This window comes from Homo sapiens, chromosome 9 (assembly GCF_000001405.40).
Source record: "Homo sapiens chromosome 9, GRCh38.p14 Primary Assembly".
NCBI lineage: Eukaryota > Metazoa > Chordata > Mammalia > Primates > Hominidae > Homo > Homo sapiens.
This window is the reverse complement of record NC_000009.12, coordinates 65,130,083-65,153,228: the sequence shown is the minus strand read 5'-3', so window position 1 is coordinate 65,153,228 and position 23,146 is coordinate 65,130,083. Positions and strand designations below refer to the sequence as shown.

The window sequence follows — 23,146 nt, the reverse complement described above, 5'->3', positions numbered from 1 at the left end:
TTTAGAAAGTGAAATCAGGAGCGGAAAAAAGCTCCAGCATCTCACCATGGGGTCTTCCAAAGCCAGCAGTACTGGAGATGTTTATTGTTCAAAGATGGACTTGCTTGGGTTGGGATTCTCCAACTAGAGCCAGAGGGGAGATTCTCTGCTTCCCTTGAGGACACAACAAGAGAGGCTTTCTTATAAAGCCTGCCACATTCTGTGCCTGTATTGTTTTATTTACTGGAGTCTATCATAAGGCCTGTGAGGAAAGGACTGAATCTCTTTCTCATAGCCGTTGGGCTGATGGCCCTGCGTGCTGTAGGCATTTAATAATTCACTGAGTAAATGAATGAACCCTGCAGGAGATTGGGAGCCTTTCTGATCTTGAGGTCTCAGTTTGGACTATCTTTCTGGAGTGGATAGACGAATATGTTTTTCAGCAGCACTCTAATAAGCGCACATTGGGTGACTAAGCAGAAGAGTGATTCGTTTTGCTAGAATTTTCCAACCTGCAGGAGCCAGTCCCCCTGGTGTCCCCATTCCCTGTCCCCTCAGTCATCTCAGCAGGAAATTACTATCCTTTCTCCCACATGGGTGATGAATGTTCAAGGCATTTCAGCACACTGTGGTAAGGCCCAGAATGGGTTCAAGTAAAAGTAAATACCAGTCCTTATTAGGAGATCCTGGCCCCTCTGCTGCATGTGTCCCAGTACACATGCAGCTTCCTGCTCTGTCATAGAAAGCAGCCCTCTAGGTCCACTGCCTCCAGTGAGAGTTTCCTGACCTCCAGGAACTTCTGTAGTCAGGCACCACTCCCTTCCCTCACACCCAACACCCTATTGTTCCAGATTTTATCACTGTGCACTGATGCTCACTGCGACCCCACATGTGGCCACAGGAGGAACTCGGCTGAGGGCTGAGAAGACCAGATAATGACACAGAGGGCTCACTTCAGGAAACCCAGAGAGCTGCAGCGGCTCCTCCAGGGCCATTCCACGCATTCATTTTCTAACAAGTCATAAGTCAAAGAGTGACATCAGGAGCGGACAGCCTGGTGTCCAGGCATGAGCCATGGCAACAGATTCTGATTTCCCAGAACGGCTTTGGTCTTTACCTGGTGTTGGATATGGTAGTGTTAGCTGGAGTGGGAGGAGATTCACATTGTATATTTGTTTAGTGACTCCAAAGATTTTAAATTATATTGTGTTTTTTATTATTTTATTCCATTTTTTTAGAGACAGAGGTCTCACTCTATCTCCCAGGCTGGAGTGCAATGATATGATCATAGGTCAGTGTAGCCTCAAACTCCTGGGCTCAAGTAATCCTCCCATTTCAGCCTCTTGAGTAGCTGGGACTCCAGGTGTGTACCATGACTCCTGGCTAATTTTGGTTTAAGTAGAGATACAGTCTGGCTATGTTGCCCAGGCTGGTCTTGAACTCCTGGCCTGAAGCAATCCTTCTACCTTGGCTTCCAAAAGTGTTTGGATTGTAAGTGTGAACCACTGTGTGGGCCCTGGTTTTTGTTTAATGGCTATTAAATGCTCAGAAGTGAATTAAGGTTGCAGTTAAATGCACAATTTTTATATCAAACTATTTTCTTTGCTAATTCACTTCTATCTGCTTCTACCAGCTGTAAACTACCTGAAGCAGAGAAAGTTTCTTTAGGTTGGGGCTTCCTGTAGCCCCGAGCTGAGTGCCTTATGCAGCATTGGCCGAGTGCATGAATTTGTTGGGTGAACTGCTGCGGGGTTTAGAGTCCGCAGAGGGTAGGACAGGACAGATCGTGATCGAGGCTAACCTTCTCATCTACTCTACCATTTCATGCTCTGTTTGGGCACCTCCATCACCCCTCACTTCCCCTGATGGTCCAGTCTCTCTGGGCCTGCACTGTCCAGCCACCCTCTTATCCCTAAGCCAAGGCCTTTGCCAACTAAAGCTCAGGAGTAAAGTGGCCATCACTGAGGCCATTCTATGTATGTATGTATGTATGTATTTAGAGATGGAGTCTTGCTCTGTCACCCGGGCTGAAGCACAATGGTGCAGTCTTGGCTTACTGCAACCTCTGCCTCCCAGGTTCAAGCAATTCTCCTGCCTCAGCCTCCCAAGTAGCTGGGATTATAGGTGCCCGCCACCATGCCCAGCAAATTTTTGTATTTTTAGTAGAGATGGGGTTTCACCCTTTTGGCCAGGCAGGTCTCAAACTCCTGACCTTGTGATCCCCCCACCTTGGCCTCCCAAAGTGCTGGGATTACAGGCATGAGCCACTGCACCCGGCTGACTGAGGCCATTCTAAGGAATATACAGCAAGCTCTTCAGTACCCATTTTTGTTAACTGAGGTATAACTAAATGATACACAGGCCCAGCACAGTGGCACGAACCTATAGTCACAGCAACTTGGGAAGCTGAGGTGGGAGGATTGCTTGAGATCAGGAGTTTGAGTCCAGCCTGGGCAACACACGTGTATAGGTCTATGAGTCTGGAAGAATGTATATAGCCATGGAATCACTACCATGTCAAAACATAGGATATTTCCATTATCCCAAAAAGTTCCCTCCTGCCCCTCTGCAGTCAAACACTTCCCTCCCCCAGCTCCTGGCAACTGCTGATCTGAACTGTAGACCTGAAAATGTCATTCAGAACCCATTTCATCTGGACCCTTCTCTCTGTGTCAACATTGCTGTGAGCGGTGTCTGTGGGATTTTTCTGGACGTTCTCTGCCATGCCCCTGCTCCTTCCTTCCTGCCTTCTGGAAGGCACCCCTGCCAGGAGTCGGCTGCATTAAAGTGGGTGTTTCAGGGGTGTCTTCCTTTACTCTCTTCTCACTGATTTCCAGCTATCCCTGTGTCTCTTGTTTAATGAGTGCCTTCACCCATATCCTTAAACCCACCAGGGCGACCTTCCTGCCCCTTTCTTTGGAGAGCTGTATCTGTATTTCCAGTGGAGACACAGACTGTTCCTTAGATCCTATTAACCCTCTGAGCTCTCTCTCTTCAAGCCAGGCTCATTTCTGGCTTGGCCAATCTGCCTCCTCCCATGTCCTTTCCATGACACGGTGATGGCATCACCAGCCAGTCACCAAGCTAGAACAGTCCCTTCACCCGGCCCCTACTGTAGGAGGATACTTTTAGAGTATGTCTGCAATTCACCCCCCACTCTCTGTATCTACTTCTGTGGCCAAAGTGCGGACCTTGATTTCCTCTGGCCCCAGCTGAATTAACCCACCTCTCTGGGCCTGGTTCTCTTTTCACTAAACATTCTCCACATTGCTGCCAGAGCTATTTTTCTAAAATACACATCAGACCACATTCTTCTCCTCCTTCTTTAAAAACAAAAAATCAAAAAAATAAAAAACCAAGAAACAAACAAAAAACCCACCCTACCGTGGCTCCTCAGTGTGTAGAGATCAGATTCAAGTTCCGTGAGATGGTCTTCAAGATCCTTGGCCATGTGACCCCGTCCTGCTATCCCAATCCCATTCCCATTCCCATCCCCAGCCTCCCCACCTCATCCAACTCCAGCCACATTGGATCACCCCAGGAGAGGATGTCATGTATTAGTACTCTGGTGCCTTTGAGTCAAAACTCACTGTTTTGCCAGTTCAGAGGTTGAGCCCTTTTTGAAGAATCCCCTCTTCTTCCACAGCCCAGGTAAGTTCTACCCCAGGCATAATGAGCTGTTATCCCCCTGGGATCTGAGGGTATTCAGAATACCAACACAATGCTCTCCAGATACCTCTATGCTATTCAAATCCATGCATCTCACACCTGCTCATCTTAAAATCTCTGTGCCTCACATGCAGGAAGAATTCAAATGATGCTGATTGAAAAAACATTGTGTCCAATATTAGATGAAGCATGTAAATATCAAGGCAAGAATCTGCACTTTTTGTCTGTCTATTGCTTGTTTGCACAATAGAGCCACATGGTTTATTATAAAAAATTATTATAATGTATGCTGTTTAAGCTCAGATCACTTTGCACTAATGATGATGATAATGATGGGTTAGAATTTTTTTTCTTTTCTTGCCATGGGATCTGCCAGGTTTTAAGAATTCTTTTTTATTCTAAACCAAATTCAGGAGCACTCCCAAAGACAAGAAATCAAATTTAGGCCACTGATGGTACCAACGGAAGGCTATCACTGTGTAGCTATACCAAATGAAGCCAATCTTCATGGATTTTAAGCACTTTGATAAGCTTTTATATCTCTGCTCATCTCCTTTACCTCCATAGATAACACAAAATAACAGAATAATCAACCAATAGCAACGTAATCCCATCACAACAACATCAAAAATGAGAATTCATATGATTCAGTAATTTCCTAAGCCAGAACTTCCCACCTGATGTGCTGGGGAAGTGAGAGGGTGAGGACTGCTTTCCCCAGCCCTTAGGGTGACTGGGCAGATCCTGTCTGGTGTGAGCATTCAACCCTACTGATTACATCATTTTGGGTGCTATGTGTGACAAAGGTTGACAACCACTGTCCTAAGCCATTCTACCATTTAAATAGACTGAATTCTCCCAAGTTATGTTCTTACTTGCCTTAGGAAGGAAATTAGTATTATGACTCTAAGGATCCTGAACACATGATCTAAAAAAAGAAAAACCCAAAGCACAATGGCAAAGGTAGGTGAGACAGAGTGTTTAGAAAAATAGCGAATACTGTACTATTAATTACTCCCAATTCTCCCTAATCCATGATTTTTAAAGAGCGGGTGGAGCATAACGATTTGAGGCACTGCGACAATGCAGAATGGGGAGGGATTTTGGAAAATGTGACTCACTCACCGTTCCGACCAAAGGGTAAATGAACCCAGCACCTATGCTGGCCCGGACATCACTGATAGGTAAGATGAAGTCCCTTGGCACACCTTTTTTGTCAGGTTGGTGAGACAGAGAAAGATCGGTCTTTGCCATGCAGATGGGCAAATTTCCAAAACCCTGTAAGAAAGGAAAGAAAATGTGTTCACTGATATAGACGTGAGTCTCCTGTGTTTTTCAATTTGCACTTTATACAGTCTCGGCAGCAATGGTATGCCAGCTCAGATCGAGGCACACGCAGGAGCTGCTTGTTACTACTTGTTCACTGAAGAAGCAAGAAGGTGAGGATAAAAACTCATCTCCATGTGATGACTGTTTAGTAGGTCAGGGGTGACTATTGTTTATTTTGGAGGTTCTCGTTAAGAGAAGACAGTGTTATGTGCATGTTTGGGAAAAGCATTGCTATTTGCAGGCAAAGCAGCAGCTGTAGAAACCGCTTTCCAAGACTATTAATATCCGGGACCCAGCAAGGTAGTCTGGAGAAAGGCTCTGCGACTAGGCTCTTAGTCATGTTGTTCACTCATTCTGGAGTCAGTCAAGAAGCAAAGGGTTCCTTTGTGTTGGTTTATGAATCATGGTTATTTGATCTGCAACTACATTACAAGAGCTAAGATGAGGTCACTATTTAAGCTTCTTGTTTTTAAGGACAAAAGTCTATGTCTGACCCAGAGTTCCAAAGGTGAAAGAGCAGGAAGTCACATGTGGTGTCTCACAAAAAGCACAGTGTCCTATAAGCCTGTTTCTGATTAAATGGCACACAGTGTTCCTTTAGAGGCTTTGCTAATTCATTGCAACCACATACTTGGCACTAACTTTAAAAAAAATAAAAATAGAGATGGAGGTTTTGCTATGTTGCTCAGAGTGGTCTCAACTCCTGGCTTCAACTGATCCTCTGCCTTGCCCCCACAAAGTGCTGGGATTACAGGTGTGAGCACCGTGCCTGGTTGACACGACTTTTAAGGAGTATTTCCTTGATAGAGATAAAGGGAATGAAATCTTTAGTCAAATTTTCATAAGACTTAGCCTAAAACTATTTGGAAGATCTTAGAGTCTTATCAACTTAGGGAGGACTTGGGCTTGGGGCCATTTTCTTTTTGAAATCTCCACTCTTCTATACTGATAAGAATTTTGCTGAGTGAGAATCACAACTGCCTTTCAGAATGGTGCCAGAATTTTGAATTTCAGACATGGTTAAATATTAAAGTAATTTCTATAGGTTTGCTAATGTAAAAATTTTGTTAGTAGGCATATTAAAAAGAAACAGAAACCAACCAGTATGCTATATACTGTCACCAGATTACTTCATAAAAGAAATAACATTTTAACACTGAAAGGAGAAAAGACTTAATATTACAATAAATGATAGTCTTAAATATCATTATTAAAAACTCGGGGAATAAAAAACAAAGCAACCTCATGAGAATGACCTTATTTTACTTGGTTCATTGCACATGAATGAAAACTTCACCACAATGCCTAGGCACAGAGCAGTGCTTGGGAATCCTTTTTGTAAAGGGTAAGCCAAGAACATCAGGGAAAATTCTAAGAATTTAGAACTTTCTGAGTTCCTATTTTACCAAACCTAGGAGAACAAATACCCTGGCTGGCAATGGTAGCATTTAACAAAATTTCAAATGGGTTTACAAAAAAGAATAAGGAGTTGGAGATTGTTTTTAAAGATAAGGTCAACACTACCAATCATGAAGCTCTTTAGCCAACAGGCTCTTAAAATGTTCTGACTTCTATCTATCTGATTACACCAAAGTAGGAGGGACACTGGAGGCACATGATCCTTTTGGTAAAAGGTGGCTGAGCCTCCTATAATGGAGTTGATTCATCATGACTGTCACTGGACTAGGTGATGACACATGCTGTCAGATCGTAGCCACCTTCCCAGCTGTTTGCCTACTTGCCTTTCTCAGTGGCTAGAGGTAGAAGATGATGGAGCCTTCAACCTCAGTGGACCAGCTCAGTAAAAAGCCAATGAACCGCTTGCATAAGAACAGCAAACATTCCCATCTTTATAGGCTGCACTCCTATCTGCCTACCCTGGCACCTTGCTAGCATTTTTAAGGTAGTAAGAGGCCTGTAAGGAAGAGGAAGCATTGCAATTCATGCAAATCTGACTCCGCAGCTCTACTCCAAAGGATAGTTTCAACGTTCTGGGCTGAGTGGGAGGGATGAAAGATCACACATCACCTACAAACAGGGATACCACCCATATCAGACACATTTATAGTCACAGAAGTAAATGATGCATGGATCAGAGGATACATGCCTCACCATAAAGTTCTAAATATAGTTTACACTCTACCCGAGGATATTGCTTTCATCTTTGTTAACCAGAAAATAGATTAAGCAAAGGTTAGCTGGTGAGACATGTACAAATCCTCAAGTCAAGCTGAGTATTCTGAGAGCCTAAGGTGAATTTTTTCTTTTCCCCTAAAAGTACAACTTTTACCTGCTGAGTGTAACGATCTATTTTGACTTGTGCCTCAGGACAGAGTTCGATATCTTTGGCTCCATAGACAGCCTGGGCAATGGTCCTTATCTTGTCCACAATTGGAAGCTGCAGAAACACAAATTATAACAAAATTGTGTAAGTTTAATCTGGTTAAAGATTTTTTAAAAAGTTTAGTGACACTTACTGTAATTGCTTAAAATTCCCTTATCAGGGTACCCCCTCAGCAACTGCAGGATTCCTTGCAAACCCTCTTTTTTCCTTTTAGCACCCTAAAGCACTGAAATTTTCAGTGTCAGAATAGATCAGATGTCAACTAGCAAATAAGCCTTAGGTGTTCAGGCAATTTAGAGGCTGCTTAGAGCCCATGTAGAATCTGCAGAGGGAGGCCGGGCACAGTGGCTCACACCTATAATCCCAGTACTTTGGGAGGCCGAGGCGGGTGGATTACCTGAGGTCAGGAGTTCGAAACCAGCCTGATCAATATGGTGACACCCCGTCTTTACTAAAAATCCAAAAAAACTAGCTGGGCTTGGTGGTGCATGCCTGTAATCCGAGCTACTTGGGAGGCTGAGGCAGGAGAATCACTTGAACTGGGAGGCAGAGACTGTGGTGAGACAAGATTGTGCCACTGCACTCCAGCCTGGGTGGAGTAGGACTCTGTCTCAAAAAAAAAAAAAAAATCTGCAGAGGGAAGAGGGAAGTTAGTGCCTTACAGAGGGCTTCTGACTAGGAAGCCCCAGAACTGCGGCCGACCCCTTCCTCTCCCTGCCTCACCCCTGCAGAAAGATCTGCAGAAAAAGCTGGAAGGGGTGGGATGGTGTGTGTGGGGGTGGGGACTGGGGCTATGCAGTTTCCAGACCTGGTCTTTGGCACCCTCTACAGGACAGTTCCATTCCCACACCTGAGCTTTGGACAACTGAATCCTATGCCCCTTCCCACCCAGGGAACCTGGTGCCAGAAATTCCCAGGACTTACCCACCATCCACCACACCACATAGCAAGTGTCCTCAGTGTCTGCAGACCAGAAACAACTCCCTTGTGTCTCAGCACCGGGCCACCTGCTGAAACCCCAAACTGCCTGCCCCATTGTTTGAGACCCAGTCAGGCCTTGGCTCCAAAAGTCCTCTTGGACTGCCACTGGCCCCCAGGGTCTCTCCTGACTGCACCTCGGTCCCGGAGCTCCCACGCCGCTGGGCCCCAAGCCCCATGCCCCGATCCAGCTGTGGCTCCTTTACGGGGGCCTTGCTGGCCTTTCCTAAGGGAGGTGTTTTCCCGAGGGCAGGTGGACTGCTCCTCAGACTAGGGGCCCTCGGAGGGCCAGGCCTGGGCTTCTACCTCCTCTCGCAGGCTGGTGTTTCTCTGCAAATATGGCTCATGTGTCCTCCTTCCTCTCAGACTGGGGGCCCCTGAGGACTGGGCCTGAGTTTCCCTCTCCCCCTTCAGAATGGGGGTTCCCTGAGGACTGACCCAGGGCCTCCCCCCGTCCCCTCCATCTGGCTGTTAATCTCCAACACTTTCACCTCCAGTCCTATTCTGCACAGCGCTCCCCAGCGCTGGGAGCTCAGAGGCCTCTTCAGCCTTCCCCAGGGCTGGGGCTCAGGGAGGGCTTCCTCAGGCGCTGGCCCCAGAGTCAGGCTGCACATTGGCTTGGAGGACAGGCCTTTCCTCTGGGACTGTGAGGCCCAGAGTGCCCACCCAGAACTCCACCTCTGACCTCACAAAGGCCTGCTTCAGAACTCGGTCTCCACTGCACTGCTGGCCAGACGAGGGATGTTAATTTGGGCAGTGCATCTGGACTTGGTTCAAGTGGCACCAGCCAAATCCCTGCCTTACTGACCTCTCCCCTGGAGGAGCAGGAGCAGCGCTCAAGGCCGCCCTGGGAGGGCTGAGAGGCAGGCTCTGGACTGGGGACACAGGGATAGCTGAGCCCCAGCTGGGGGTGGAAGCTGAGCCAGGGACAGTCACAGAGGAACAAGATCAAGATGCGCTTTAACTGAGAAGCCCCCAAGGCAGAGGCTGAGAATCAGAAGACATTTCAGCAGAGTGAGTGGGGCTCCAGGCAGGGTGGGGATGGGGCAGCCTCCTCAGTGCCCAGATCTGGAAGGGCCATTCCCTGGGTACCATACAGCGAGGAGGTGACTGAGGGATTGTTTGGGGAAGGAGCCCCGGCTGGGAGTGGAAGTCCCGGCTTTCTTGTTATGGTGCAGTCCTGTGTTGCTGTGTGACACAGGCACATACACCTTCTCTCTGGGCCTCAGTTTCCTTACCTGTAAGTTGGTTGTTGGGAGGACCAGCGGTAGAGCAGAGATGGCAGGGATGCACTGGGCTGGGCTGTCAGCAGACCATGGGGGTGGGACGAGGAGAGAGCTGAAGACCACCGGCAGTGGACCACAGGGGGAGGCATGCAGGCCAGAGACGGGTCAGCTGCCGGCTTGCTGGAGTCATTCCTCCCACGCAGTCCCCTCCTGAGGGGCTGGAGCTGGGGCTGGAGGGTTTCAGCAGTCAGGGCTGGAGATAAGAGTCTGTGCTGGAGCTAGAGGGAACTGGGCTAGAGAATCAGGAGGACAGACAGGGTGAGGGGACTTCGGGCTACCTTCATGCTGTCAGTTAGAGATAAAGATAGGAGTACAAAGGGGAATTTTTGGGTGAGGTACACGGGTGAAATGAGTTTTCAGGGCCTCATCCTGTGTGTTCACCTTCTGTGTGTGTGTGTGTGTGTGTGCATGCGTGCATGTATGTGTGTGTGCAGGTCCTGGACAGTCACAGCTTAAGTTAGCAGCAAGAGAACTTGAGGTTAAAGGTATAGCACGCAAATATGAGGCTGGAGCCACTGAGTAGAGGCTGAGGGCATCTCCACAGTCCAAAGCTGGGCTGCAGACAGGGAAGGTCAGCAGGAGCACTGGAGGGTCTGGCCTGGGGTTGGGGTCCTGGGGCCAGCATGGGTGGGGTGGGGCTCCAGGGCGTCGCCTCATTGGCTGAGCACCGCTCCTCCCTCCCTGTTCCTTGGCTGGGTTAAGGGAGTGGCACTAGCAGGAGCTGCCCCAGGGCTTCTCCCCTGGGGACAAAGATCTGATGGAAGTGTGGGGCCAAGTTCTGTGTCCTCCAGCCCTAGTGACCTCTCTTTGGCTCCTCAGCATCTACAAATCTGAAGGACAAAACATGGTTCAAGCATCTGGGCACAGGCGGTAAGTACCCCCACCCTCTTCTCACCCTCCAACCCCCTGTCCTCCACCCAGCCCACTTCAGTGCCCTCCCTGCTCCATCCTCAGCCTCTCCCTTGGGGCAGCTGTCCCCCCTCGACCTCCTCCTCCCCACCCACCCACTCGCCTCTGAGGTCCCAGAAGAAAAGCATCTTCCACCTGTTGCCTGGGCTGGGTCCTGGGGTGAGGGGAGGCTCAGAAATACTTGGATGAGGGTCAAGGCATGCAGGTGGCCTTCAACTCAACTGCACTCAGCACCTCTCACCCTCTCAGGCTCAGCTGTCTTTGGGGTGAAAAAGAGCCAGTCCTTGCAATGGCCAAGGCCCTGCCTATGTAGTCCTTGTTAGCTTTCTGGCCTCCCCACTCCAGCCCCCTGCTCTCCCTCCTCCAGCCACACTGAGTTTCTTTTCTGGTTTTTTTTTTCTTTTCTTTTCTTTTTTTTTGAGATGGAATCCAGTTCTGTTGCCCAGGCTGGAGTGCAATGGCAAGATCTTGGTTCACTGCAACCTCCTTCTCCCGGGTTCAAGCGATTCTCTTGCTTCAGCCTCCTGAGTAGCTGGGATTACAGGATTACAGGCACACACTACCATGCCCAGCTAATTAGTTGTTTGTTTGTTTGTTTGTTTGTTTGTATTTTTAGTAGAAATGGGGTTTCGCCATGTTCGCCAGGCTGTTCTTGAACTCCTGACCTCAGGTGATCCACCCACCTCGGCCTCCCAAAAGGTTGGGATTACAGGTGTGAGCCACTGCACCTGGCCTCACACTGACTTTCTTTGCTTTCTTCAAACATGCTGAGAGTCCTCTGGTGACTATTCCCTCCATCTGAGAGGCTTTCTGCAGTTAACATACAGCCCACTCTCATCTCCTTCATGGCTTTGCTCCAAGGCCACCTTCTCAACAAGGATTACTCTGACTGCCCTATTTGAAATCACACCCCATCTCCAGCCCCTGCACTCCCAATTCCCCTCTCCTTGCTCTGTTTTTTCCCATAGGAGCTGGTACCTTCGCTTATACAAATGTACTTACTTATTACATTTCATTGCTGTCAGCTCCACGCAAGCAGGGATATTTGCCTGTTGTACACTTGCACGGAGAGAATGAATAGTGCCCCTCTGTTGACATCATTGCCTCTAGCCTACGTCTCTTTCCAGGGCTTTAGATCCTGTTTCTAGAGACCCACTGGTGTCTCACAGGCAACTCAGCTCCTAGATGGAAACAGCCTCCTCCGCCCCCCACAAGTCCACTCCTCCTGTGCTCTTGGCTCAGTCAGGGGTCCCCTTCTCTTCAGTTGCTCAAGCCAGAAGTCAAGGTCATGTCCTTGATACTTCCCTCTTCCCCATGCCTCACATCCAGTCACCAATCTCCTAAAATATCTAGAATGTGCACAGCTTCCACCATTCTTTCTACCACCACCCTACTCCCCCATGGCCATGTCAGGCCACCACCCGCCCATTCTTCAAAACTCCCTTCAGGCCTCACCTCCCATGCCTCCCCTGAGTTCCCCCAGTCCCAGGCTGCTTCTCTCTGGTGGTGTTGCCATTACCCATCTCTTCTATTAAACAGAGTGACCCAAGAGTGGAGAGTGGGTTTTGACTTTGTATCCCTGGTGCTTGACTCATAAGTAGGTGCTCAACAAAAATTTTTTCTTTTTTTGAGATGGAGTCTTGTTCTGTTGCCCATGCTGGAGTGCAGTGGCATGATCTCGGCTCACTGCAACTTCTGCTTCTTGGGCTCAAGCGATTCTCACATCTCAGCCCCCACCCCAGCTGGGATTACAGGTGCCTGCCACCACGCCCAGCTAATTTTTTTTTTATTTTTAGTGGAAATGGGGTTCTGCCATGTTGGCCAGGCTGGTCTTGAACTTCTGACCTCAAGTGATCCACCTGCCTCGGCCTCCTGAAGTGTTGGGATTACAGGCATGAGTCACCATGCCTGGCCAACAAATGTTTGTTGAATGAAGAAATGTTGGTTAGCAGGTTGAATTGTTGGCTCGTGGTTAGTTGGATAGTTTATGGTTGACTGGTTGATTAGATAATTCAATGAGTTAATAGCTGGTTAACAGGAGAATCAGTTAGTTGGTTTTTGATAGGTTAGTCAAAGGGTTAATAAGCCACCGGGCATGTTGGCTCATGCCTGAAATCCCTGCACCTTGGGAGGCTGAGGCTGGAGGATTGCTTGAGTCCAGGAGTTTGGGACCAGCTTGGGTAACATGGCAAAACCCCATCTCTACAAAAAATAGGAAAAAATAGCCAGTCATGGTGGCATGCTCCTGTAGTCCCAACTACTTGGGAGGCTGAGGTGGGAGGATCACTTGAACCCTGGGAAGTCTAGGCTTCAGTGAGCTGTGACTGTGCCACTGCACTTCAGCCTGGGCGACAGAGTGAGACCCTGTCTCAAAAAAAAAAAAAGAAAAAGAAAAAGAAAAGAAACAGGCGTTAGTGAGTTGTTAGCTATTTAGTTCCTTGGTTAACAGATTACTTAGGGGATCTGGTTGGCTGTCAGTTTCTTGCTTTGTAGGCTGGCTTTCTTGGGCCCCTCTTCTTAGTCTGTACCCTCTCCTTGAGCTCTCTCATCTATGCCCATGGCTCAGATGACCATCTGTGATTTGCTGTCCTCCAAATGTGTCTGTAAGTGAGACCACATGACCAGCTGCCTCCTCACTGGCCATCCCACCCAAGTGTCTAGCAGGCTCCTCACACTCAACATGTCCAGAAAGGGCCTCCTTGTCCATTCTTCCACAGCTTCTCTGCTGTGCCCCACGCTAGTCATTCCGCTGCCCTAGCCAGGACCTGAGGGCATCGCTGAGCTGCCCGCTCCCTTCCCTCTCTAACCGAACACCAAGCCTGTCAGCTTGACTGTGTTCTTGTGGCCATTGGCACTGCCATCCTTGTGGCTCAGACTGCCACCACTTCTCCACCCATCTGTGGAGAAGCTGATGCTCACCCTGCCTCCACTCCACTTCCTCCATCCTGGCCTCCACAGGGGAGGCAGCTCTCCTGCTGAAACCCTCCACTTGGCCCATGGCCCTCTGGTAGAGTTCAGACTCCCTAATGTGGGCCATGAGGCCTTCTGCCACCTGGCCCTGGCCCCTCTCTGCCCATCTCATGCCACCTCCACTCCTCCGTGGCCAGCCCATTCCTGCACATTGGATACTGCCTTAGCTGCAGGCCTTTGCACATGCCAGTCCTACGCCCAGAGTGATCCCTGCCTCCCTGGAGGCTCCTTTACCCTCCAGCCTTCTTTTCTTGACCTGAATTTCCCTTTCTCTGGGAGCCTCCTACCCCCTCCTCTAGGCCATTCACTTCCTCCACATGCCCCACAGTGCCCACTCTTTCAGCTGGGGCAATGCTCATCACACTGCATAGTAATTGCTCAATTGATTGCTTTTCTTCCCACAGGCTGGATTGTACCAGTGTCCTTTACTGCAGTGACTGAACATTCTAGGCACAGTAGATTCAAGAAATCTTGAGTTCATTGGCTGGTTGGTGGTTATCTGTTGCTTACTGTGTCTTGCCTGCTGTGTGGTGATGAGGAAGGAGCCAGGCTTCCAGGATTCTCTTGGTGTTCTTGTCTTTCCGCTCTGTCCACTTCTCTCTCCTCTTCTGTGGTTACCTCCAGCATGGGAGGTGGGGTTGGATGGGAGCCAGTGGAGGGTCACCTCGCCCTGCTAGGGAGAGCAGCAGCATTCCTCAGGGCTCCTAAATTCCCCTGACCTCACAGCAGCAAAAAGTAAGCAGAGGGAATGAGAGACGTCCAGGCATGGAATAAAACATCTTCCACTTTTCAGCTGAGACCCTCTGTTCATGGCTCACCCATCCCAGTCCTTGCTCTATTCCTTACTCCAGAGAAACAAAACCAGGGATGAGTAGATGGAGGGGGATGCAGAGTTGCGCGGATATTCCACTGGCCCCCATCCAACTCCAGCTCCCATGCAGCATCGTATGGGGGTCTCATTATCCCATGACCAGCCTCCTCAGCCCTGAAGAAGAGACCCTATCAATGCAAGCAGCAGCCCAAAGACAGTCCTGGGAAGGTACCATAGAGGCAGGGGAGAGGTAGACAGAGCAGGGAGCCAAGAACACCAAGGGAATCCTGGAAGCCTGGCTCCTTTCTCATCAGCACAGAGCAGGCAACAACCAGCCAAGGAACCAAAGATTTCTTGAATCTACTATGCCTACTATGTTCAGGCACTGCAGTGAAGCAAACTGGTATGATCCCAGCCCTTAGGAAGAAAAACCGTTAATTAATTAAGCTTTTTTTTTTTTTCTTTTTTGAGACAGGGTGTCGCTCTGTCACCCACGCTGGAGTGCAGTGGTGTGATCTCAGCTCACTGCAACCTCTGCCTTCTGGGCTCAGGCAATCCTCTCACATCAGCCTCCCCATTAGCTGGGACCACAGGCGTACACCACAACACCTGACTAATTTTTGTATTTTTTTTTTTTTGTAGAGATGAGGTTTTGTCATACTGCCCAGGCTGGTCTTGAACTCCTGGGCTCAAGCGATCAGCTCGCCTCAGCAAGTGCTGGGATTACAGGCGTGAGACACTGTGCCTGGCCTAACTGAGCAATTACTATGCAGTGTGATGAGCATTGCCCCAGCTGAAAGAGTGGGCACCGTGGGGCATGTGGAAGAAGTGAATGGCCTAGAGGAGAGGGTAGGAGGCTCTCCCAGAGAAAGGGAAATTTAGGTCAAGAAAAGAAGGCTGGCGGGTAAAGGAGGCTCTGGGGAGGCAGGGGACCATTCTCGGTGTAGGACTGGCATGTGCAAAGGCCTGCAGCTAAGGCAGTACGTGATATGCAAGGATGGGCTGGCCAGAGGAGTTGAGGGGCTGGTGTCAGCTTCCGGGCATGCAGACAGTGAGATAGCAGAGTGACTAAGGCCACACTTAGAGGTATCTGTATCCCTCTTCTTCCTCTTTTTTTTTTTTTTTTTTTTTTTTTTTTGAGATGGAGTCTCGCACTTGTTGCCCAGGCTGGAGTGCAGTGGCAAGATCTCGGCTCACCACAACCTCCATCTCCCATGTTCAAGTGATTCTCCTGCCTCAGCCTCCGAAGTAGCTGGGATTACAGGCATGCGCCACCATGCCTGGCTAATTTTGTATTTTTTAGTAGAGATAGGGTTTCTCTATGTTGGTCAGGCTGGTCTCGAACTCCTGACCTCAGGTGATCTGCCCACCTTGGCCTCCCAAAGTGCTGGGATTATAGGCGTGAGCTACCGGGCCCAGCCCCTCTTCTTCCTCTTTATCCTCCAGTCCCACCCCGCCACCTTCCCCAAACTCCAGTCCTATACCTCTCCCTATACGCAGATTTGGAACCTGTTACTCACCTGTTTCATCTACCTTTCCATCTAACCGTGCACTTAACTAAATACAAATCAAGTGCCAGGCCCTTTGGCAAGCTCTGAGGATCTAGTTGGGAGTAAGACAGATTCCCCAGTTTTCACCCATTCAACAAATACTTATTGCACATCTACTATGTGCCTGGCATGGTGCTGGGCACTGAAGATACACCAGGAAGTAGATCCAGTCCTTCCTTTTCTCCCTCCCGCTCTCTTGGTCATTCATTCATTCATTCACTCACTCTCTCACAAACCTCTGTTTGTACTGACCTGGTTGCACAGCCTGGTGCATTTTGCTGACCCCTTCATTTTTGACAGAACCTGGCACATGTTTCAGTGCTCAGTGCTGTTTACAGAGCTCGGCAGCAGACTTTGTCACACTTCATGCTGTTTGTAGAGTGCCTCACTGTTGCCAGGCCCTGGCCTGTGACCCCAAAGTTCTGGCTCTAGCAGATAGGCAGACAGACAGATGGACAGACATAGACTACTGAGCTCTACTTTCCAGCCTGCTCTCTCCCACCCTACTTTTTCCCAGAGGCTTGTTGGCACCGTGGATTGCACTTTCAGCTCCCCACCTGTCCGTCTGCAAAGTGGCCTCATTGGTGTGCCATTTTTACTGGTCCAGTCCCAACTACAAGGGGCATGGCTTGGCCATCTACCCCAGTTCCTCTCCATGTCCCCATGGCTCTCAAGTGTCTCCAATTCCAGCTGTCCCAGCTGCCCCGGGCAAGAGGAGGTGTGTGTGGCAAGTCTGCTGGGTTACCTATTAACTCAGCTGTGAGTTGAAGAGCCGATGGGCAGCAGGCAGACTTGAGTCTCCTTTCTGTCCATGAGCTCGGGCCACTGTATCAGGTCCACCCGTGGCTCCAAAATGGTCTCCTGGTCCGTGATAGCAAAGATCCAGGAAATATGATGCGAGGAAGATGAGAGGAAGATGGCGCGAGAGTTCCTGGCCGAGTTCATGAGCACATATGTCATGATGGTGAGTGGGCGGGCAGCACGAAGTGGGTGGGCTCTGCCAGGGCCTTCCATGACCCCCTCCCCATTCTGACCCCATGGGTCACATTGTCCATTCCTTGCCTCTGAGCTGGGAGCCTGGGGAAGCAGCGAGGAAAGTAAGGGGGGGGGGGCTTTCTCATCAAGTCTTTTTCGACAGAAAGGGCTCATAATATGTGGGGGTCAAATGAAACCATGCACTGGGGTATCCGGGGCAAGGCTGGAAATGGGGAGAAGGGAAACCCAGAGTAAAGAGATTGAAGAGGCCCAGGTGCAGTGGCTCATGCCTGTAATTCCAGCACTTTGGGAGGCTTAGGCAAGTGGATCACCTGAGGTCAGGAGTTCGAAACCAGCCTGGCCAACATGGTGAAACCCCGTCTCTACTAAAAATACAAAAATTAGCTGGGCATGGTGGCGGACACCTGTAACCTCAGTTATTCAGGAGGCTGAGGCAGGAGAATCGCTTGAGCCCAGGAGGTGGAGGTTGCAGTGAGCTGAGATCACACCATTGCACTCCAGCCTGGGTGACAGGAGCAAAACTCTGTCTCAAAAAAAAAAAAAAAAAAAGAAAAAAGAGAGAGAGATTGAAGAGAAACTTGATGATCAGGCTCTGATAATGAATCCAGAGGGCAATGGGCGATGTTGAAGGCTGGCAAGCAGGGGAGTGACATGATCAGATTTGGATTTTAAAGGTAATTTTGGGTGCAGTGTGGAGCATAAGCAGGACAGGCAAGGCTGGCAAGAAGGAACCAGTTAAGAGGCTGTTTTTGATCTGGGACAGAGAGAGGGTGATGACTGATCTGGGGTTGGAGAAGAAAGCACATGTTTGAGAGGGCTGTGGAAGATGGAATCGGGGAGACTCTGCCAGAAGAACATGTGGGCAAAGCGCCGATGAGCTGTTCTGGAGCACGGGGCCCAGCACAGGGTGAGAGGCAAGATGCCTGTAGGGAAATCCAGGAGATAGTTAAACACAGGCAAGGGGCTGGAGCTCAGGAGAGGCTTGGTCTGGAAGGAAAAAGTTGAAGTTCATCACAACACAGGTGGTGGTTGTCAACACTGTCTAGAAGGAGTGTACAGAAAGAGAAAAGGATGGTTTGAGGACAGAGCCCTGAGGAATGAAGAGGGGCACGCAAAGGAGCCTGAGAAGGAATGGTCAGAGAGGTGGGAGGAGAACCAGAGCCGACTGCATGACAGAGGGGGGCAGTGGTTCCACCAGGAAGAAGCCATCAGCGGCATGGGCAGCGGCAGATGGGCCACGCAAGGTGAGCACTGGCAAGGGGCCTTAGGGTTTGCCAATGTGGAGGTTGCTGGTAACCTTGACAAGGGCTCTTCTTTAGTGTGTGATTGGGACAGAATCCAGACTGCAGGTGGGATGTGAGGTTGCTCCCTCTCCACCTGCTTCAGCCCTGCCACTTACCCCAGTGAGCCTCTGCCCTTAACATGACTGTAGCCATGTTTATTGCATCTTATGCAGGGTCCAGGGTCTAGAGAAAGAAGGGGCAGCCTCTGGGAAGGGAGGCAAAGGCAGCCAGGTGCATGCTAGAGGAAGGTGGGGTGACAGAGGCTGTTCGTGTGTGTGGTGGGGCCCATGGAGCTCAAGGGAGAGAGGAAATTGGAACACCAGGTTTCTTAGCCTGACCCTGCCACTGAGTGACCAGTTGCCTTGGGCAGGTCTCTCCCTGGCTTAAAGCCTGACTTCTCACTTATATCGTGTAGAATTAGGCCTTCGTGGGCTTTGGAGCTGTGTTTGAATCCTAGCTCTGTTATCTTCTAGCTGTGCGACTATCCACAAGTATCTTAACTGTTCACAAATTTAGCTTTCTTGTTTTTGAGACAGGGTCTCACTCTGTCTCCTAGGATGGAGTGCAGTGGTACGATCTCAGCTCACTGCAGCCCCCACCTCCCATACTCAAGTGACTCTCTTGCCTCAGCCTCTTGAGTAGCTGGGACTACAGGCATGTGCCACTGTGCTCAGCTAATTTTTCTATTTTTAGTAGAGATGGGGTTTCACCATGTTGGCCAGACTGGTCTCGAACTCCCGAATTCAGGTGACCTTCCTGCCTCGGCCTCCCAAAGTGCTGGGATTGCTGGCGTGAGTCACCTCTCCCGGCCCACAACTTTAGCTTCCTTATTGGTTAACAGGAGGACTTGTGTGAAGAAGGCCAAGTCTCAGCACCCAGTGTGGTACCCATGTATTGGTCCCTTGTTATTAGGACGGGTGCTCTAGCTGCTGTCTCCTCTCTGTCTCTGGCCCTCCCCTACTCCTCTCTTACCTCCCCACCTGCTTTGGCTCCTGAGCTGTGAGGACAGCAGTTGGATCCTGTCCCTCCTTAATCCAGGGCAAAGTAATTCACTTACCACAAGACATTCCAGCCCCATGAGGGCTGTTAACCCTTGGAGCCTCGGAGGCAGGAGGGTGCATCCTCTGAGAGCTGTTAGGGAAATAGGCACCGCCCACATGCTTGATACCTGCCCACATCTGTGTTCCTCTTCCTTTTGCTGAGATTTTCATTGAGCACCTAATGCATCCCGGGCTCTGTGATGCTAAGCCCCTTACGTGCAGCATCTTCCCAAATCCTCGCAATAGCCCTGTGAAGTAGGTACTATTGTTATCCCAGTTTCACAGATGGGAAAACTGAGGCTCCTTGAGACTAAGCCTTTTGCCCAAGGTCACACTTTAAGTCAAGATTAAATCCAGTGCAGTCTAATATCACAGTCTTTTTTGTTTTTGTTTTTGTTTTTTTGAGATACAGTCTTGCTTTGTCACAGTGGTGCAATCTCGGCTCACTGCAACCTCTACCTCCTGGGTTCAAGCGATTCTTGCATCTCAGCCTCTGGAGTAGCTGGAATTACAGGTGCATGCCACCATGCCCAGCCAATTTTTGTATTTTTAGGAAAGACAAGGTTTCACCAAGTTGTCAAGGCTGGTCTTGAACTCCTGACTTCAAGTGATCCTCCCACCTCGGCCTCCCAAAGTGCTGGGATTACAGGCATGAGTCACCGTGCCCAGCCCAATATCACAGTCTTGACCCTTAACCTCTATGCTCTGTACCTTAGCTTAAATATTGCCAGCTTTTAAAGACTGGCTTGTTAATGCTCCCCCAGCCAGGGTAAAGTCCTCACTTTCAGGTAGTTCAAGATGCCTCTCTCGGCCTCAGTTTCCCCATTTATAGAGTGGGAGAAAAATTCTTGCTGTGCAGATTTGTTGTGAGGATTGAAGACAGTAGCACTTGTAAAAGAACTTTGTGAGGCGTAAGCCTATATCGGATATTGTGGTGTTGTTATTTTTAGTTGCCAGGCTGTGCCAAGAAGTGAGGGCTTTTTTTTTTTTTTTGTAAATATATATATAGGAATCTCAGTGAGTCACCAGGGTGAAGTTTTGCCAAAAAAGCTAGTGTGACCTTGGCCCCATTTATTGCAGCCAGGACAAGGGAAGTGGACTGATCCGTGTTGCAGCTTCCAGGTGTGTTGCCCTTGGAGCTGGCCTCCTGGCTGTGGGGGAGAGTTGGATGGGCTGGGCCACATTCACTGATCAGGGAGAGGAGGGGCTGGAGCCATCCGGGCCCTGGAAAACCAGCCATACACATGAGACACGGGGCAAGGGTTGTAGATCACATGCTACGGGGGCCAAGAGAGCGGCAACTCAGGGCGGTGGGGACTTTGGCTGGCTGCAGAGTGCCAATCTGTGCAAGGCTGTAGAGCTGCTGCCACTCCAGCTGACTGTTGCCATGGAGGGTGGAATGCAGGCCAGTGTTGCTTGAGCTGCTCATTTTTCAAGAGAGATGAAAACTTCTGTTCTTCAAAACCAAGTTATCTAAACAAAATCTGTGCGCTGGATGAATTAGGTGCATGAGTTGCCAGTTGGCAACCCTGACACAAGGAATCATGTGGGGTTCATTCACTCACCCAGTATTTTATTTTATTTATTTTATTTTTTTGAGACAGAGTCTCACCCTGTTGCCCAGGCTGGAGTGCAGTGGTGTGATCTCAGCTCACTGCTCTGCCTCCCGGGTTCAAGTGATTCTCCTGCCTCAGCCTGCCGAGTAGCTGGGATTACAGGCATGTGCCACCACACCTGGCTAATTTTTTGTATCTTATTAGAGACGGGGTTTCACCATGTTGGCTAAGCAGGTCTCAAACTCCTGACCTCATGATCGGCCTGCCTCGGTCTCCCAAAGTGCTGGGATTACAGGCGTGAGCCACCACACCCGGCCTATGCTCATCCAGTATTTTTAGCACATGGTATTGGAATGCGGGAAAGGCCATGGGGGCCCCTCTGTTTTCAGACCCTCCATGCCTCCTCCAGTCCCTCTACCTCTTGACCCTGCCAGCCTGTCAACCTGTCCTGACCTCACTCCCCCCTGCACCCCCATCTGTTCCTGTCCTCTCCTGCTGTATCTTATCCTGGATCTGAAGCCAGCCTAGCTCTGGGCTCCCCTGCTCCTGTCCTGGGGCTTCTGAGGGACCCAGTGGGCCCTGCTCAGCTGCCTCTCCCCCACCATATCTGGGCTATTTCACATTTTCTCAGACTTCCCCAAAGCTGCTCTGTACTCTTTTTTTTTTTAAATCAGCAAATGGCTTGATCTGCTGCTTGATAGGTAAAATAATCAACACTTCCTATGTTCAGCTCACCCTCTTGTCCCTCTTACCACCAGACCCATTAACCACCCGTGTATCCACATATCACCCCTTGGCTGGGGTGGGGTCCTCTCCTTCCTGGAGGACACCTCCACTTCTGCACCAATCCAGCTGTCCAGCCTATTCAGGTACTTTACTCTGTCCTTTTTCTCTGTCCTTTATCTTCAGCCCATCCCTCTCTCAGCCTATAAACATACTGAAGTTTCTCCACTGAAAACAACACAAAATGAAACATCCCTCCCTTCACCCTGTCAGCCCCTTCACGGGATCATGTTCTCTCTTCCCCGCTCCTCAGGCGAATTCTCGAAGAGGAGTCTACACTGGTGCCTTTCAACTCTTTTTTTTTTCTTTTTTTGAGATGGAGTCTTGCTCTGTCGCCCAGGCTGGAGTGCAGTGGTGTGATCTCAGATCACTGCAAGCTCCACCTCCTGGGTTCAAGCAATTCTCCTGTCTCAGCCTCCTGAGTAGCCGGGATTACAGGCAAGCACCACCATGCCTGGCTAATTTTTGTATTATTAGTAGAGACGGGGTTTTGTCATGCTGGTCTTGAACTCCTGACCTAAAGTGATCCATCCACCTCGGCCTTCCAAAGTGCTGGGATTACAGGCATGAGCCACCGCACCCGGCCTGGTCTGCCTTCTTACCTTGTACCCTCTCCTGGGGCCTTCTCCTCTGTCGGCTTTGACTTTGGCCCTTATGTCTACAATTCTTCAGGTTTTCTCCTTTATCAACTCTAGAACAGAGTTCTCCAGGGGAAATACAATACAAGCCATCTGTATAATTTAATTTTTTCTAGTATCCACATTAAAAAGGTAAAAAGCAACAGGTGAAATTAATTTTAATAATTAACCCATATAGCCAAAATCCTATTTCAAGATGCAATCAATGTAAAATTATTAGGATATTCTGGCCAGGCATGGTGGCTCACACCTGTAATCCCAGCACTCTGGGAGGCTGAGGTGAGAGGATTGCTTAAGGCCAGGAGCTCGAGACCAGCCCGGGCAACATAGTGAAACCTCATCTCTACACAAAATAAATTGAAAAACTTAGCTGGGATAGGGCTCAATGGCTCATGCCTGTAATCCCAGCACTTTGGGAGGCCAAGGCAGGCTGATCATCTGAGGTCAGGTGTTTGAGACCAGTCTGGCCAACATCGTGAAACCCTGTCTCTACTAAAAATACAAAAAAATAGTTGGGCATGGTGGCATGCACCTATAATCTCAACTACTCGGGAGGCTAAGGCAGGAGAATCACTTGAACCCGGGAGTTGGAGGTTGCAGTGAGCCGAGATTGCGCCATTGCACTCTGGCTTGGGCGACAGAGCAAGACTGTCTCAAAAAAAAAAAAAAAAAAATTGGCTGCGTGTCGAGGCACATGCCCATAGTCCCAACTACTTGAGAGGCTGAGGTGGGAGTATCACTTGAGCCCAGGAGATGGAGGCTGCAATGAGCCCTGATCATGGCACTGCACTCCAGCCTGGGTGATAGAGCAAAACCCTATCTCAAGCATCAAACAAACAAACAAATAAAACAGAGGCACAAGAAAGCAAGGCATGCATGGAGCAGCGCAGTTGTTTGGTTTGAGGCCATCTGGCACAGGTAACTGCCTGGATTTAATCCTGGCTCACCATGTACAGGCTGTGTGACCTTGGACAAGCCATTCAAGTTCTCTAAGCTTCAGATTACCCATCTGTCAAGTGGGGGAG

General features: G+C 49.5%; 1 long non-coding RNA gene and 1 pseudogene across 9 annotated transcripts in view; one reads left to right on the top strand and one right to left on the bottom strand.

The window, feature by feature from the left end:
- LOC105379443 (methylenetetrahydrofolate dehydrogenase (NADP+ dependent) 1 like pseudogene) overlaps positions 1–10,171 on the bottom strand; it is a 42,107-nt pseudogene extending 31,936 nt beyond the window's left edge. For both annotated transcript variants that reach the window (NR_160670.1, NR_160671.1), the window contains exons 1-3: positions 9,538–10,171; positions 7,268–7,375; positions 4,774–4,926 (exon numbers count right to left, since the gene is read on the bottom strand). The product of NR_160670.1 is annotated as a methylenetetrahydrofolate dehydrogenase (NADP+ dependent) 1 like pseudogene, transcript variant 1 (transcript). The remainder of the gene's footprint in view (positions 1–4,773; positions 4,927–7,267; positions 7,376–9,537) is intronic.
- Positions 9,064–18,610, top strand: LOC102724507 (uncharacterized). 7 transcript variants are annotated; one of them, XR_428496.4, is made up of 5 exons: positions 9,064–9,313; positions 10,405–10,455; positions 13,869–13,951; positions 16,642–16,789; positions 17,585–18,610. It is a non-coding gene; the product is annotated as an uncharacterized LOC102724507 (long non-coding RNA). The 7 variants fall into 7 exon arrangements; XR_950672.4 differs by lacking the exon at positions 17,585–18,610 and having other exon boundaries at positions 9,066–9,313; positions 16,660–16,927; XR_001746681.1 differs by lacking the exons at positions 13,869–13,951; positions 16,642–16,789; positions 17,585–18,610 and adding an exon at positions 16,516–16,635 and having other exon boundaries at positions 9,074–9,313.
- Positions 18,611–23,146: the final 4,536 nt, after the last annotated feature.